Below are 16,911 nucleotides of genomic sequence, written 5' to 3'. Positions count from 1 at the left end.
GTGGAGTTCAGTCCAATTCAGGTCAGCCATATCCAAAAGACTACAAGTCATTACTAAGTTGAGCAAAAGAGTTTTTACGTATTAGCAGAAAGGGCCTCTCTGGCAACAGAGATGAAAAATTGGCCCAACTTCATTTCCATCCTTCAGGGAATAGCAAATTGAAGATTTACTTATCTAGGACTTGAATTCCTTCTTTGGGTCCAAGTTAATAAAAGACCAAGAAACTCCTGATTAAACTGGATAATGAAGGATTCTATAGACAGGGCTGCACGTATCGGCTTTGTTTGACTTCTCTTTTCTCAGTTAACATCTCAGAGATGGAACATTCCACATTCCCCAGCAGCGTGTGGGGGCCAACTAAAGTTTACAATTCCGACTAAAAATCACCCTGCTTCTGGCTTATCTGAATCCCTTACCCACCCCACCCCACCAACCCACTCCTACTTATTCAGCACCACACTACCCAGGAAACACACTAGCAAATTGTGCAATGGAATAAAATCCACACTTTTCTTTAGATTCTTGCAACTGTATCATATGTAATAGTATCACTTTTTCTACATTTTGGTCAAATAAATTTTTACATAAACTGAAAAAAAAATTAGCTGGGCTTGGTGGCGGGCGCCTGTAGTCCCAGCTACTTGGGAGGCTGAGGCAGGAGAATGGCGAGAACCCAGGAGGTGGAGCTTGCAGTGAGCCGAGATTGCGCCACTGCACTCCAGCCTGGGAGGCAGAACAAGACTCTGTCTCAAAACAACAACAACAACAAAAAAAAACCAAAAAAAAGTTTTGGTCCAGGACCAACCACATAGACAACAGTGGTCCCATAAGATAATGGTGCTAAAAAATTCCTATTGCCAAGTGACATCCTAGGTGCTGTAATGCTGTATCACACCTCATGTGTTTGTGGTGATGTTGGTGTAAACAAACCTGCACTGTGTCAGTCTTATGAAAGCACAGCACATACAATTATGTACAGTACATAATACTTGATAATAAACAATTATGTTACTGGTTTATGTATTTACTGTACAGTAAGGCATCGCTTGATGATGGGGATATGTTCTGAGAATTATGTCATTAGGCAATTTCATCATTGTGCAAATATCATAGGGTGTACTTACACAAACCTATATGGCATGGCCTACAACACACCTAGGCTATATGGTATAGCCTAATGCTCCTAGTCTACAAACCTCTACAGCATGTTACTGTATTGAATACTACAAGAAAATATAACACAATGGTAAGTATTTGTATATCTAAATCTATCTAAACATAGAAAAGGTACAATTAAAATATGGTATAAAAGATTTTTAAAATGTCATGCCTGTGCAGGGTGCTTACCATGAATGGAGCTTCCAGGACTGGAAGTTGCTTTGGATGAGTCACAAAATAAACTCTGAGTGAATGTGAAGGCCTAGGATATTACTGTACACTTTTATACAACTGGCAGCATAGGTTTGTTTATATCAGCATCACCACAAACAAGTGAATAATGCATCATGCTACAATTTCGAGACAGCTACAACGTCACTAGTGATAGGAATTTTTCAGCTTCCTATCTTACCAGACCACTGTCATATATGTGGTCCATTGTTGACTGAAATGTGTTATATAACTACTTGATTTACAAAATAACATGAGTAATAAGTATCTTATTAATAACTTTTATAATAGCCTATATTAATCTGAACATACAATATTATCTGCTTGATAAATATGAATCAACATTCATATCCACTTTTCTAATGACAATATTAATTTAAATTTAAAAGTATAAATTATGAAAAAAACCACATCTATGCAGTATTATAGACTTTCTCTCTTACCAATCATAACCTGCAGCAAAAGATGTTTCAATTACAGGAGCAATGAGTTTTGCAGATGTCATAATATATTTTTCTGCCATGGCTTTCCTATATCAAATAAACCAAAAAGTTGTATTTAGAGATACAGTATAAAATAGTTTGGATTTCCTAAAATTTAAGTGTAAACATTATCTATCAAAACTAACATACCACAAAAGCCTACTAAACAATGGACAGGTACCATAGAAATCTATTTACGATTCAGGTTTAAAACCATGACTAGGAAACGTAATTAGCAAGCCATGATTGCCTGCCGGGTCAACGGTGTTCATTTCTTTTCTTTTTCTGCTTTATGATGCCTTCTGACAAACTGAAGAGATACTGGAGAAACACAAGGCCCTGCAGCGGAACTTACGTAGCCTACACTGCAGACACGAAAGTAAAGGGTGAAATTACCACTGAAGAAATTGTGTGTGGTAAAGAGTAAAACTGAATTACTATTTGTTGCTTTTGTGTGCATATATGTGTATCTGTATCCGTGTGTGTATATGTATATGTACACGTACGTACATATATAAAATGTGTTATCGTCAAGGTTACTGGAAAATTTCCAAGTGCTTTTCAAAGTGGATATACCAATTTATAGTGGTGGGTAAAAGTTCTCTTAGTCATTTCTTCTTGAATTTATATATAAGTAGTGGTTTTTAAAATGGACTCAAAATGTATATACTATTCTATAACTTGTTCTTTATACTATGCTGTATTAATATAGAAATAATCTTTCCAGGACGGGCGCAGTGGCTCATGCCTGTAATCCCAGCACTTTGGGAGGCCAAGGCAGGTGGATCACAAGGTCAGGAGATCGAGACCATCCTGGCTAACATGGTGAAACCCCGTCTCTACTAAAAATACAAAAAATTAGCCAGGTGTGGCGGCAGGCGCCTGTAGTCCCAGCTACTAAGGAGGCTGAGGCAGGAGAATGGCATGAACCTGGGATGCGGAGCTTGCGGTGAGCGGAGATCGGGCCACTGCACTCCAGCCTGGGTGATAGAGTGAGACTCCGTCTCAAAAAAAAAAAAAAAAGAAAAGAAATAATCTTTCCAAATCATTCAACATTCATCTTGTTATTCTTTCTTTTGAACTTTATTTTGAGACAACTGTAGATTCACATGCATTTGTAAAACATAAGAGATTCCATGTACCCTTTACCCAGTTTCCTCCAACAGTAACATCTTTCAAGTATCACAACCAGATTACTGTCATTGATAACAGTCAAGAAACAGAATATTCCCACTATATTTCCATTCCTTTGTTTTCCTCCAACTCCCACCCCTTCTTCATCTCTCCTAACAACCATTAATCTGATCTCCAGTTCTACAATTTTATCATTTTAAGAGTGTTATATATAAAGAATAAGGTTATATATAATCTTCCAGAATTGGCTATTTTTGCACAGTATACTTCCCTTCAGATCTATCCAATTTGTTGCGTATATCAATATTCATTCCTTTTTGTTGCTGAGTAATATCCATGTTATATGTCAACTGTTACAGAAAAAGCATGTGACAAAATTCAACACTCATTCATCACAAAAACATACGAAATAAGAGACAGCTTTCTCAACATTACTGAATCGTGATTTTTTCCTTAGTTTGTTAGTATGGTGAATTACATTGATTGATTTAAAAATAATGAAGCAACCTTGCAGCCTTCGAATTAATCCTACTTGGTCATGGCGTGTAATTTTAAAAACATATTTCTGAATTTTTAAAAAACAGCTTTATAGGGAGATAACTCATATACCATACAGCTCACCCAATATAAAGTCTACAATGCAATGGTTTAGGTATAGTCACAGATTTGTGCAACAAGCACCACAATCACTTTTGAAACATTTTCATCATCCCAAAAAGAAACATAATATCCATTAGCAGACACTCCCTGGCAAATCTTTATAGATTTGCCTAATTTATACCTTTCATATAAACAGAATCATAAAACGTGGTCTTTTGTGACTGGCTTCTTTCATTTATCATGTTTTCAAGGTTCATCTGTATTGTATTGGTTGGTGCAAAAGCAATTGCATTCAATGGGAAAAATCGCAATTACTTTTGCACCAACCTAACAGCACGTATCAGTACTTCATTCCTTTGTATGGCTGAATCACATCCCATATTATGGATAGACCATATATTATTTATACCTTCATTAATTGTTGCACATTTGGATTATTTCTATTTTTCGATATTATGAATAATATCACTAAGAAAATCTGTATACAAGTTGTCATGTGGACATATACTCTGATTACTTTTGGGTAAATATCTAGACGTAAAATTGCTGGGTTATATGGTAAGTCTATGCTTAACCTTTTGGGGCACTTGTATGCTGTTTTACAAAGCACCATTTTATACTCCTACCATCAGCATTTAAGAGTTCCAATTTCTCCACACTCTTACCAATACTTGTTATTTTCTTTTTTATTATAGCATACTAGTAGGTGTGAAGTAGTATCTCACTGCAGTTTTCAGCTGCATTTCCCTAGCAATTACTGAAGTTCAGCATCTTTTCATGTGTGTATTGGGCATCTGTGTATCTATTTTGAAGAAATATCTATTCATATCTTTTGCACATTTTTAATTGGGCTATTGGCCTTTTTATTATTGAGTTGGACATTACTTATATAGTCTAGAAATAAGTCCCCTCTCAGATACATCATTTGCAAATATTTTCTCCCATTCAGTAGGTCATTTTTTCACTCTCTGGATAGCGTCCTCTGAAGTACATAAGTTTTTAATTTTGATAACGTCCAATTTATCTATTTTTTTCTTATGTCACTTGTGCTTTTGGTGTCATATCTACAAAACCTTTGCTTAACCGACAGTCAATGATATTTCTCTTCTTTTTCTAACAATTTTATAGTTTTAGCTCTTACATTTAGGTCTATAGTTCATTTTAGTTAATTTTTGTGTATGGTGTGAAAGAGATGTACAACTTCATTCTTTTGCAAGAGAATATCCACTTTTCCCAGCACAATTTGTTGAAAAGACTCTCCTTTCTTCTCTTAAATTTTCCTGGCACCTCCACTGGCTATAAACGTAAGAGTTTTTTCCTTGTCTCTCAATTCCATTCCATTCATTTATGCCTCTGTCTTCACAGTGTCTTCATCAATGTTGCTTTCTAGTTTGAGTCCCAACTTTGCTTTTCTTTTTCAACACTGTTTGGGCCATTCTGGTTCCCTTCCATTTCCATATGAGTTTTAGGATCAATTTGTCACTTTCTGTAAAAATGTTGCTGGAATTTTGACAAGGGTGGCACTGAATCTGTACATTAATTTGGGGAGCACTGCCATTTTAATAACATTAAGTGCCTATCCATAAAAATACGACATAATTTATTTAGTATCTTTATATTCTTCCCATGTTTTATGGTTTTCAGAGTTTAGGTTTTGCATTTCTTTCATTAAATTTATTCCTAATAATTTTTATGCAATTATAAATGTTAATTTCATTTTTGGGATAATTCATGGGTAGTGTATAGTGTATTTCTTCTTTTCTTCCTGAGGGGGTGCACAGTTCCTGGAGTTACTGCACTACCAGGTCAATGCATACAGCAGATGGAGCAAGGTCCTATTCAATCTCCCTGCTCCAAAAATCCATTTAACAGATTGTCCTTGGATAGCGGAAGCATCAGATATACAAATACTACACTTCATCTCAGCCACACGGCTGAGAAGATATTAATATATTTCTGCACTACACTATTGATTTTTGTATATTGATTTTTTTTTACTCTACAACCTCATTTATTCTAACAGTTTTAAAGTTGATTCCTTAGGATTTTCTATGTACAAGATCATGTCATCTGAAAAAAGATGGTTTAAACTGTTCCTTTCTAATCTGGATGTCTTTAACTCCAGTTTTAAGTTTATTTGTTTTGCAAACTGCCAAAGATAGAATCTTCCAGTTCAATGATGAACAGAACTGGTGAAAGTGGGCCGGGTGCGGTGGCTCATGCCTGTAATCCCAGCAATTTGGGAGGCCAAGGTGGGTGGATCACCTGAGGTCAGGAGTTCAAGACCAGCCTGGCCAACACGGTGAAACCTTATGTCTACTAAAAATACAAAAAATTAGCCGGGCATGGTGGCAGGCGCCTGTAGTCCCAGCTACTCAGGAGGCTGAGGCAGGGGAATCGCTCGAACCCAGGAGGCGGAGGTTGCAGTGAGCTGAGATTGTGCCATTGCACTCCAGCCTGGGCAACAGAGCAAGATTCCATCTCAGAAAACAAAACAAAACAAAAAACTGGTAAAAGTCGGATATCCCTATCTTGTTCCTGATCTTAGGTGCAAAGCATTCAGTCTTTTTTTTTTTTTTTTTTTTTTTTTTTGAGACTGGGTCATGCTCTGTCTCCCAGGCTGGGGTGCAGTGGCACAATTTTGGCTCACTGCAACCTCCACCTCCCAGGCTCAAGCAATTCTCCCAAATAACTGGGACTACAGTGCATATCACCATGTCTGACTAATTTTTGTATTTTTTTGTAGAGACAGAGTTTTGCCATGTTGCCCAGGCTAGCATTTAGTCTCTTTCCATTAAGTATGATGTTAGCCGTGAGTTTGTCACAGATGTACTTTATCAAATTGGGGAACTTCCTTTCTACTTGTTTCTTGTTGGACTTTTTGTTTTTAATCTTGAAAACATTTTGAATTTTGTGAAAAAATTTTCCTGGTTTCTACTGAGATGGTTGTGTAGTTTTCATCCTTCATTCCACTGATATCCTATATATTATTATTATTAATTATTATTATTATTTGAGATGGGGTCTCACTCTGTCACCCAGGCTGGTGTGCAGTGGCATGATCACGGCTCACTGCAGACTCAACCTCCCCAGGTTCAGGTGATCCTCCACCTCAGTTTTTGTTATTTTTAGTAGAGCCAGGGCTTCACCATGTTGCCCAGGCTGGTCTCAAACCCCTGGGATCAAGTGATCCACCCACCTCGGTACCACAAAGTGCTAGGATTACAGGCAAGAGCCACCACGCTTGGCCACCTGTATAATATTAATTGATTTTTACATGTTAAACCAGTTTCACATTCCTGGGACAAATCCCATTTGGTCCAGATGCATAATTCTTTTTAAATTTTGTTAATATTTCAATTTGCTTTTGAGTCTATGTTCATATATTCGTATGATATTAATCTGTAGTTTTCTTCTTTTTTTTTTTGGTACTGTCTGATTTTGGTAGTAGGGTACTTCTACATTCATAAAGGAAAGTAGGTTCTGAAAGAAATGTAGAACTGATGTTCATTCCTTTTTTTTTTTTCCAGTAACATCAGAGATTTCATTAAACCTGGAGGTTGAATTCATTTCGGAGTTCAATGATATGTCCAAAGAATCAGGTACTATAATCGTATAGACAACTCCTGTAATATATCCACAGTGCAAAATTATCCCCGTTTCCTGTCATTCCCTAGTGAGAAAAATCCAACTGCAGACTTGACTGCCTTCGGTGAAGGCACACGGCAAATTCTTCTGAAAAATAATACCCTTCAAGATTGACTCTTCCCGTTTTACACAGCAATTGTCTCAGCTTGGGACCAAAGTATTTACAAAGCAAGCAAACAACAGACTAGCGAACAGGGACACTTCTGAAGCTGGTGATGCAGAAATCCACTGCCAAGCAGGGTGGGGGGCCAGTCACCTCTCCTGGAATGTTCCATATGTAAGCTGACACAACTTAACATCTTAAATACAGAATTCCAATCAAAAGAAAAGCAAACAAAAGACAAAAAAAAAAAACAGCAGTCAAGCATAAGCAGTGTTACTTCCTCTCTGAACAGGGAAGCATCTTGCTCACTGGGAGATAAAGGGTGAACCTCTTATCTGCTGCTGTCTCCTCGCAAATGCCAGCAAGAAGCTGGGTGTGGTGATGAAGAAAGATGGCAGTCATCACCAAGACCCCACAAGCCAAGCCATGGTCCCCTCCCTGAGGGCACAGTCCTTTCATGAAGCCATAAAAGACTGAGACCTCAGCTCAGACCTGAGCACTCAGGGTTACCTACTGGGGTCGTGTAATATTCCTGATGTGATTTCTGCCAAAACCCAAACTGGTTCTTTGTTTTTTGTTTTTTGTTTTTTTTCTGTTTGTTTGTTTGTTTTTGAGACAGAGTCTCACTCTATTGGCCAGGCTGAAGTGTAGTGGCATGATCTCGGCTCACTGCAACCTCCACCTCCTGGGTTCAAGTGATTCTTCTGCCTCAGCCTCCCAAGTAGCTAGGACTACAGGCATGTGCCACCATGCCCAGCTAATTTTTGCATCTTTTTAGTAGAGACAGATTTCACCACATTGGCCAGGCTGGTCTCTAGTGATGCACCTGCCTCAGCCTCCCGAAGGGCTGGGATTACAGGGTTGAACCACCGCACCCAGCCCTAAACTGACTCTTGACCAAAGAATCTGATTTGGCAAACCAAATCTTAGTGCAGTGTTCGCTCCTCCTCTCCTTACCCAGAACATGATTCAGATCCTAACATAAACACAAAACAGGTCAGGGAACCAAAACGCCGTGGTCTTGTCTATTATGCAAAACATTGAGATAATGTTCATGATTCATTCTGTTTTCAGCAATTGTGTCCATTTTGAAGCTTCTCTCGAAGCTTTGAAACACTGCATTGTTTCCTACTAAATACCCAAATGTGTCACACAGGCATCACCAGTGGGAATTTTGTTTTTAAACATTTAGAAATAAAACAGTTTTTGACCCATAAGCCAGTCCTAACGCATAGGGTAATGGGGATCGAGGCTAAACACACACACAACTACAAAATATTCCCTAGAAAAATGCAACATCCTCAGAAAATCAAGATCTCCCTACCAAACAACCTACCAAGTCATCACTGAAGAGGTGAAGACTCCTCTCAAAAGATAAGTGCCATAGAAATAGAGCTTGAAATACTGAACATGATTTCTCGAAGATCCTTTTTGTTACCCCAAGAGAAGTGGAGGCAGAGGAGAGAGAGAGAGCAGTTTCCCTTTCCTCTGGATCCAGCCGGATGCCAACTCTGACATGCAGGGCAGAGCACCAGGCTGCAAGGCTGCAAGAATTGGATGCTAATTGCAATCGCTTTTCACTTTGGAACCTTTGCCAGGAACTTCAAACTATTAAGGGGATGACTGGGAAACGGGATCCATCTCTGTGGCTGGGGATGTTTTTGAATGATTCTCACAGGCTCCTTGTCTGCTCAGTGACCCTGTTGGTCCTATGCATATCTCAGCCGGGGAATTAAAATGGCCAGTCTGACGTTCTCAAGCACCGCCCTGGACACCCCCACTGCCAGCCCATGGTCTACAGCCACAGCGATCCCAGCTTTCCAGACAGGGTCCTGAATGTTATCTGGAATGCAGACACAAGTGTTTTGAGATACACCGTTTGGGGAATAATTCCACATGGAAAGGTACAACGTGGCCAAGATCTCGGCAGGGACCCGGCCCTCAGATGACAGTCTCCAGAAAGAAAGAGCATGAGACACCAGTGTCTGTTTAGGTTTGCCCAGAGCCCACAGCCGTCTGTGCTGCAGGCAACGCATCCTCCTGTGGCTCATGGGGCGCCAGGAACCCCGGTGCTTCTGATGAAGAGTTACACACCATTCCCTCGGCTGGGTTGTACATTCACTGGATGTCAGAAGTTTCTGAAACTGCTGTGGGGGCAGGGGAAGCCGTCGCAGAACAGTCTGGTCCTGTCCTCTGGACTCTACAAGTCATAGTGGTTCAAACTAAGAGTTTGGGTAGCTCTGCCAGCTGTACTGGAAGTGGTCTGTTAAGATATTGTTGCAGCCATGATAGTCCCCGTGCTGGGGGAAGAGGAGGCCATTGGTGGGGCTTCTCCAGTGGGCTCTGGTGATGTTCCTTGCTGCTCAGGTCCACTGTGGTGCCAGGAGGAGGTGCTTCCTGACTTGCTGGTTTGCATCTTACTTGGTCTTGTAGAGGAAGACCCCGAGGATGGCAGTCATTATGCCCAGGACATTGGTGCTGGTGACTGGGTTGGGCAGCATGATCAGGGACACTGTGATGACCATGATTCTCTTGGTGGCATTGACAACTGAATAGCTCAGAGAGCTGACGAGGTTGAGGATGCTGAAGGCAATGACATTCTAGGCAAAGTTACAGAAGCCGCTGACAGCCAGAAGCAGGAGCATCCAGGGCCACTGTGAGACGTAGTCAAGTCGCTGCTGACCAGGAAAGCTGAGAGGTCCACCAGAACCCAGGTGGGGATCATAAAAAAACAGCGTGGCAGCCCAAGATGTTGAGCAGCGGGAGATGGTGGATCCGCAAATCTCTCAAGATCTTTTTGGAGAAAATGTTCTGAAACAAGAAGCACAGCGTGGCGGCCTCCCCACATGTCAAAAGACAACTTGGTGACCGTGGCCATCAGGACGCCGCTGATGATGGGGATGAGTGACAAGTACACCTTGTTGCTCTGCTTCTTTATAATGATCTGGGACAGGAGGACCACCCAAATGGGCATGGTGGCCTTAATGGTGTGTGCATAGGACATGGGCACCTTCCAGAAGCTGACGTGCACTGACAGGGATGCGAAGTACTTGCCGAAGGTGAGTGGCAGCACGCAGTACGGGTAGAAGTGCTGCGGCAGCAGCAGGCCAGGGGACGAATGCAGACTGGGCCCGGGGCCTGAGATGGGCGGTGCAGGGGGCAAGCGCCAGGCGTGCAGCAGCAGCAGGAGCCCCACGTACAGTACCAGGATGTGGCACAAGGACACAGTCACCGGGAACAGGAAGGCACTCAGGATCACCTAGTTGACCACATTGCCCACTGTAGCCGCCGCCATCCTGCCCAAGTGGCTGCCCCTTCCTGCCCCTGATATAAATTCTTAATAGAATTCTCCAGTAAAACCCATCTGGGCCTAGAGATAGGTTTCTTTTTTCAGAGTTTTAAAAGCATCATTCAATGTCCTTAAGATTTATAGGGCTATTCACACTATTTTATTTATTTATTTATTTTATTTTTTGAGATGGAGTCCTGCTCTGTCACCCAGCCTGGAGTGCAGTAGCACTATCTTAGCACTCACTGCAACCTCCGCCTCCTGGGTTCAAGCAATTCTCCTGTCCCAGCCTCTTGAGTAGCTGGGACTACATGCACATGCCACCATGCCTGGCTAATTTTTGTATTTTTAGTAAAGATGAGGTTTCACCATATTGGTCAGGCTGGTCTCGAACTTTTGACCTCAGGTTATCTACCCGGCTCAGCCTCCCAAAGTGCTGGGACTACAGGCGTGAGCCACCGTGCCCAGCAAACAATGATTCTTAATGAACACTTGGACATTTCTGAATTATGAGACCCTGGATTTTAAGTATCGTTTTAGCTGGCTTTCTGGATACCACTCCAGCAGAGGAAGGAGACACTCCACCTTGCCACTGCCAGGTGAAGGTGGAAATCCAGCCCCTGCCACATGGCCTCCGTTGACACCCAGAATAGGCAGAGGGGTCCTTGTATCTATTGGGCAGGGTGGGAGTTCTTGCTTCCCAAATAGTCCGTCCTACTAACATCATGATAGGAGGGCTTTGTTACAACTGGGTGACAGTTAAAGCCCTGACGCTCCACTAAGCCTCCTCTGACACTACCCAAGGAGAAAGGGTTGGGGGATGCTTCAGTACTGCTGGGTAGGGGTGGAATTCCAGGCTCCCCACGTGTCATCCACTGACATCAGAGGAATGGAACAGGCTTTAGGGGTTAAAGTCTTAGCTCCCCACTTGGCCTTTTCTGACACCACCCCAGTTGTACTTTTAATTCCACCCTCAATCTCCAGCGAAGGGAGAAAGGCTGCAGACTGAGTTCAATCACCAATGGCCAATGATAAAAATCATGCCTACATCATGAAACCTACATATAAACCCTAAATGACACAGTTCAGAGAGTTTCCAGGTTGATGAACACACGGAGGTGCTGGGAGGGTGGTGCACCCAGAAAGTCAACAGAGGCTCTGCACTACTTCCCCCATATTCTGCCCTATGCAGCTCTTCCATTTGGTTGTCTCTGAGTTGTATCCTTTATAATAACGTGGTAAGTACAAATAAAGTATTTTCCTGAGTTTTGTGAGCTCTCCTAGAAAACTACTGACCCTGAGGAGGGGGTAGTGGGAGCCTTCCATTCATAGCAGGTCAGTCAGGAGTTCAGGAGGCCCAGGCTTACAGGCTTACAACTGGCATCTGTAGTGAGGAACAGGGTAGTAGTCTTGTGGGACTAAGCCCTTGGTGTCCAGGGAGATGGATAATTGGTTGTTGGTGTGAGAAAAACCACACATTTGGTGTCAGAAGTGTTGTAAGTAGAAACAAGTTGTAGTACCATATTAGAGGAAGGAAGAAATGAAATAAATAGAATTTTGTCTCTGAGAGCTGATCCTTAATTGTGAGGCAGGATAAAAAAACATAAAGACGTCATTTTTGAAATAAAGGTAAGATAAACAAAGTTCCAATAATGTACCAAATGCAGAGGGAAACAACTGACAGAATAACTGAGATTGAGTAATTGAGATTAGCATGAGCACTGAGATTATTCTGAATGAGAAAAGAGAACCAGTAAGTATAAAAATGGTGAAATAATAGCACTATTCAAGAAATATATTGAATATAACAAGTTCTGTAAGAAACAGAATGCACATTCAACCCTTTTATAAAAATTAAAACTAAATTATTTTAAGTTTCAAATATTAAGTATCTTAATACTAAACATTAAATATTTTAAATAATGTAATTAATAACTACGTTATTAAGTTTAAAATATTACCTTTCACGTTCCATTTGCCTGAGGTGATCATTTTTTATAGCTTCAGTTACTAAGTTAGTATGAGGATCATCCTGGTAAAATAAAATGGAAGAAAAAAAGAATAATTCAGAAGTAAACAGCAAGAACTTAATTTTTGTTTTGTTTTGTTTTGAGATACAGCCTCACTCTATTGCCCAGGCTGCAGTGCAGTGGCATGATCATGGCTCACTGCAGCCTCCACCTCCCTGGGCTCAGGTGATCCTCCCACCTCAGCCTCCCAAGTAGCTGGGACTACAGGGGCATGCCATGATGCCTGGCTAATTTTTGTATTTTTTGTAGAGATGAGGTTTCACCATTTTGCCCAGGCTGGTCTTCAATTCCTTGGCTCAAGCAATTTGCTCACCTCAGCCTTTCAAAGTATTGGGACTATAGGCATAAGCCATCATGTCCAGCCACGAACTTGAATTTCCAATAAGCCTCCCTACTAATTAGTTTTAAAAAAGGGAGAGTAAATTAATCCTTCTATTTTCCCTTATGTAAATTAGAACTTTCTTTTTCATATTTCTGATTACCAATCACATTCTCCATTGAACTAACCTATTCTAAGAAGCTGATAAAAGGATCAGGATGGAAAGATTAGGACCAAGTACACAGAAGCTGGGGTTGTTAGTACAAATATGTAATACTTTAATTCTAAACTCAAATATAAATGCTTCAATCATCAATTACTTAGTATGATCCATATCTCTACTCCCCATTAAAAACACAGATGATTTTACAACATATATTATTTTTTCTCAATATGAAAATAATATATAATAATTAACATTTGCCCAGCACTTAACTATCTTTCACATACATTTTTTTTGTTTGGTTAGTTTTGTTTTGAGACAGAGTCTTGCTCTGTTGCCCAGACTGGAGCACTGTGGCATGATCATGGGTCACTGCAGTCTCAACTTCTGGGCTCAAGCCATCTTCCCACTCAGCTTCTCGAGTAGGTGGGACTACAGACATGTGCCACCATGCCTGGCTAATATATATTTTTTTTATTTGTTATTTTACTTTTGAGACAAGGTCTCACTCTGTCATCCAGGCTGGAGAGCAATGTTGTGATCACAACTCACTAAACCCTTGACCTCCCCGGGCTTAGATGATCCTCCCACCTCAGCCTCCAGAGTAGCTGGGACTACAGGTGCACACCACCAGGCTGGCTAATTTTTTATTTTTTTGAGACAAGGTCTTACTCTGTCACCCAAGCTAGTGTGCAGGGGTGTGATCACGGCTCACTGCAGCCTTGACCTCCTCGGGCTCAGGTGATCCTCCCACCTCAGCCTCCCAAGTAGCTGGGACTACAGGTGTGCAACATCAAGCCTGGCTAATTTTCGTATTTTTTTGTAGAGATGGAGTTTCGCCATGTTGCGCAGGCTGATCTTGAACTCTCAGGCTCAAGCAATCCTCCCACCTCGGCCTCCCAAAGTGCTGGGATTACAGGTGTGAGCCACTGTGCCCAGCTGCCAGGTACTATTTTAAGCATTTCACATGCATTAACTCATTTAATCCTCACCTATAATCCTCACCTTAACCCTGTAAGATAGGTTATAATAGTTAATCCCATTACATATATAAAAGAACTGAGACACAGGGAGAGTAAGAGCTGAGTAGGAGAGCCAAGGCATCTGGCTTCAGAGCCTATACTCTGCTATGCTACAGTACTCTTATAATCTTTTTTTTTTTTTTTTTGAGATGGAGTTTTGCTCTTGTCACCCAGGCTGGAGTGAATAGTGCGATCTCGGCTCCTGCAACCTCCACCTTCCGGGTTCAAGTGATTCTCCTGCCTCAGCCTCCCTAGTAACTGGGATTACAGGCACCCGCCACCATGCCCAGCTAATATAATCTGTTAAGAAAATCTATTAAAAGTTCAACTCTGTGAAATTGAAAATGTACCATTTTTATCTACAAATAGAGGCAATTTTCCTTAAACTAATATACAGTATGCCAATATTTTATTTGTAAAAATCTGGAAAATATTTCAAAAGCATTTACAATCTCATAGCTCAGAAACTACTGTTTTATATTGGTGTCAATTCTTCCAGTTTATGTTCATGTATAAGTGTGCATAGCTGTATGTTTTCACTTAACATTATATAATATTTCTCTAGGTGTTTGAAAATATGACTTTTGATAACTGCATTATGTTCCACTCTATGAGTAAGGATAAGGAATTTATTTCACTTTTTTTTTTTCAAGACAGAGTCTTGCTCTGTCACCCAGGATGGAGTGCAGTGGCACAATCTTGGCTCACTGCAACCTCCACCTCCCAAGTTCAAGCAATTCTCCTGCCTCAGCCTCCCAAGTAGCTGGGATTACAGGCGCCCACCACCATACCCAGCTAATTTTTGTATTTTCGGTAGAGACAGCATTTCGCCCTGTTGGTCAGGCTGGTCTCAAACTACTGACCTCGCAATCTGCCCACCTCAGCCTCCCAAAGTGCTGGAATTACAGGTGTGAGCCACTGCGCCCAGCCTTCGCTCTTGAGATATTTATACACAGTTGAGGTTCCCTCTGCTCCACAATGGCTCTTAATAGGTGAAATAAGGATTTGGAGGTTTCTTGGTCAAGATATTACCCTTGGCCAGGCTCATACCTGTAATCCCAGCACTTTGGAAAGTGGAGGCAGGTGGATCACATGAGGCCAGGAGTTCAAGACCAGCCTGGGCAACATGGCAAAACCCCTTCTCTACTAAAAATAAAAAACTTAGCCGGGCATGGTGGCGCATGCCTGTAATCCCAGCTACTCAGGAGGCTGAGGCATGAGAATTGCCAGAGCCTGGGAGGCAGAGATTGCAGTGAGCTGAGACTGCACCACTGCACTCCAGCCTGGAAGGCAGGCTCTCTGTCTCAAAAAAAAAAAAAAAAAAAAGATATTATGCTTAATGAATGACATGGAATCTTATTTTTAATGATTTTTTTACTAAAATTGTGCAGTCTGTTTTAACCATAATCTCTACCCCATTTCAATAGAGTCTCATTCTCAACCCAATTTAAATAAAAAATGAAATACATCAATAATAAAACACATTGATACAGGCCTGGGAAAAACCCAAGAAGTCATCTATTCTGGCTTTCTCATTCTGAAAACAGAAAAGCACAGATAAGTGGGAAGTGGCTACAGAAATGTCTTTTTCATACTCACACTTGGTGAAATATATTTATCTTCATCAATTTCTAATGGAACAGTAATCAATTTTTGGAATGCCTTCTTCATTTTTTCTCGGTCTCCAATAGCAAAATAACAGATAGTTAGGTTGTAGCCTGCCTTCAGATTTGGTGCCATGCTCATTATGTGCTCATATGAATTAATAGCATCTGAATACTGACCAGCCTGAATAAATGTAACTCCAATATTCTGCATTATTTTAATCCTAAAAGAAAAAGACATGGATTAGCTTTAAAATTCTGAACTCTTTAGTATGGCATTCAAACCATTCACAAATAGTTTTCTTTTTTCGTCTCCCACTTTACTTCGTTTTTGTTTTGTTAAAGCTTTATTGATAAAAGCTTTATATAAATACCATAAAATTCACTCATTTTAAGTATATGATTCGATAATTATTGCTGTATTTATATAGTTGTGGAACTATAACCACATCCTTATTTTAATTCATTTCCATTACCCTAAAAATAAAACCTGTGCTCATTAACAGTCATTCCCCATTCTTATTCCCAGCCCTAGGTAACCATTAGTCTTTTTTTTTTTTTTTCAGACAGGGTCTCTCTCTGTTGCTCAGGCTGGAATGCAGTGGCATGATGTCTGCTCACTGGAACCTCTGCCTCCTGGGTTCAAGCAATTCTCCCACCTCAGCCTCCTGAATAGCTGGGATTATAGGCACATGCCACCACGCCGGGCTAATTTTTGTATGTTTAGTAGAGACGGGGTTTCACCATACTGGTCAGGCTGGTCTGGAACTCCTGACTTCAGGTGATTCGCCCGCCTCGGCCTCCCAAAGTGCTGGGATTACAGGCATGAGGCACCGTGCCCGGCCCATTAGTCTATTTTCTGTCTCTCTGTCTCTTCTAGGCATTGTACATAAATGGAGTCATACAATTTGTGATATTTTGTCTTGCTTCTTTCACTTGGCATAATTTTTTGAGATTCTTCCATTTTGTAGCATGTATCAGTACTTCATTCCTTTTTTTGTCAAATAGCATTTCATAGTATGAATACATACCATATTTTATTTATACATTGCCTACTTGGTAGACATTCGTCTTGTTTCTACTTTTTGGCTATTATGAATAATTGTTATGAATGTTTGTGTAAAAGCC

General features: G+C 40.8%; 1 protein-coding gene and 2 pseudogenes across 58 annotated transcripts in view; all 3 read right to left on the bottom strand.

Moving 5' to 3' along the window:
- IFT88 (intraflagellar transport 88) overlaps positions 1–16,911 on the bottom strand; it is a 124,288-nt gene that overhangs the window by 73,733 nt on the left and 33,644 nt on the right. For 32 of the 58 annotated variants that reach the window (NR_134653.2, NR_148462.2, NR_148463.2 and 29 more), the window contains 3 exons: positions 15,779–16,007; positions 12,607–12,677; positions 1,833–1,919 (listed from right to left, as the gene is read on the bottom strand). Coding sequence is in view for 52 of the 58 variants with exons in the window: in XM_047430655.1 (XP_047286611.1) it covers positions 1,833–1,919; positions 12,607–12,677; positions 15,779–16,007 (387 nt within the window). In the remaining 6 variants the exon portion in view is untranslated. Of the gene's footprint in view, positions 1–1,832; positions 1,920–2,938; positions 3,356–10,803; positions 12,222–12,606; positions 12,678–15,778; positions 16,008–16,911 lie in introns of those variants that run through there. The other 26 variants (XM_024449413.2, NM_001353570.2, NM_001353576.2 and 23 more) reach the window with 6 other exon arrangements.
- RNU2-7P (RNA, U2 small nuclear 7, pseudogene) lies at positions 5,374–5,551 on the bottom strand (annotated as a pseudogene).
- SLC35E1P1 (solute carrier family 35 member E1 pseudogene 1) lies at positions 7,130–10,680 on the bottom strand (annotated as a pseudogene).

The sequence above is a fragment of the Homo sapiens genome, chromosome 13, assembly GCF_000001405.40.
Source record: "Homo sapiens chromosome 13, GRCh38.p14 Primary Assembly".
Classification (NCBI taxonomy): domain Eukaryota; kingdom Metazoa; phylum Chordata; class Mammalia; order Primates; family Hominidae; genus Homo; species Homo sapiens.
This window is presented reverse-complemented; position numbering and strand designations above follow the sequence as displayed.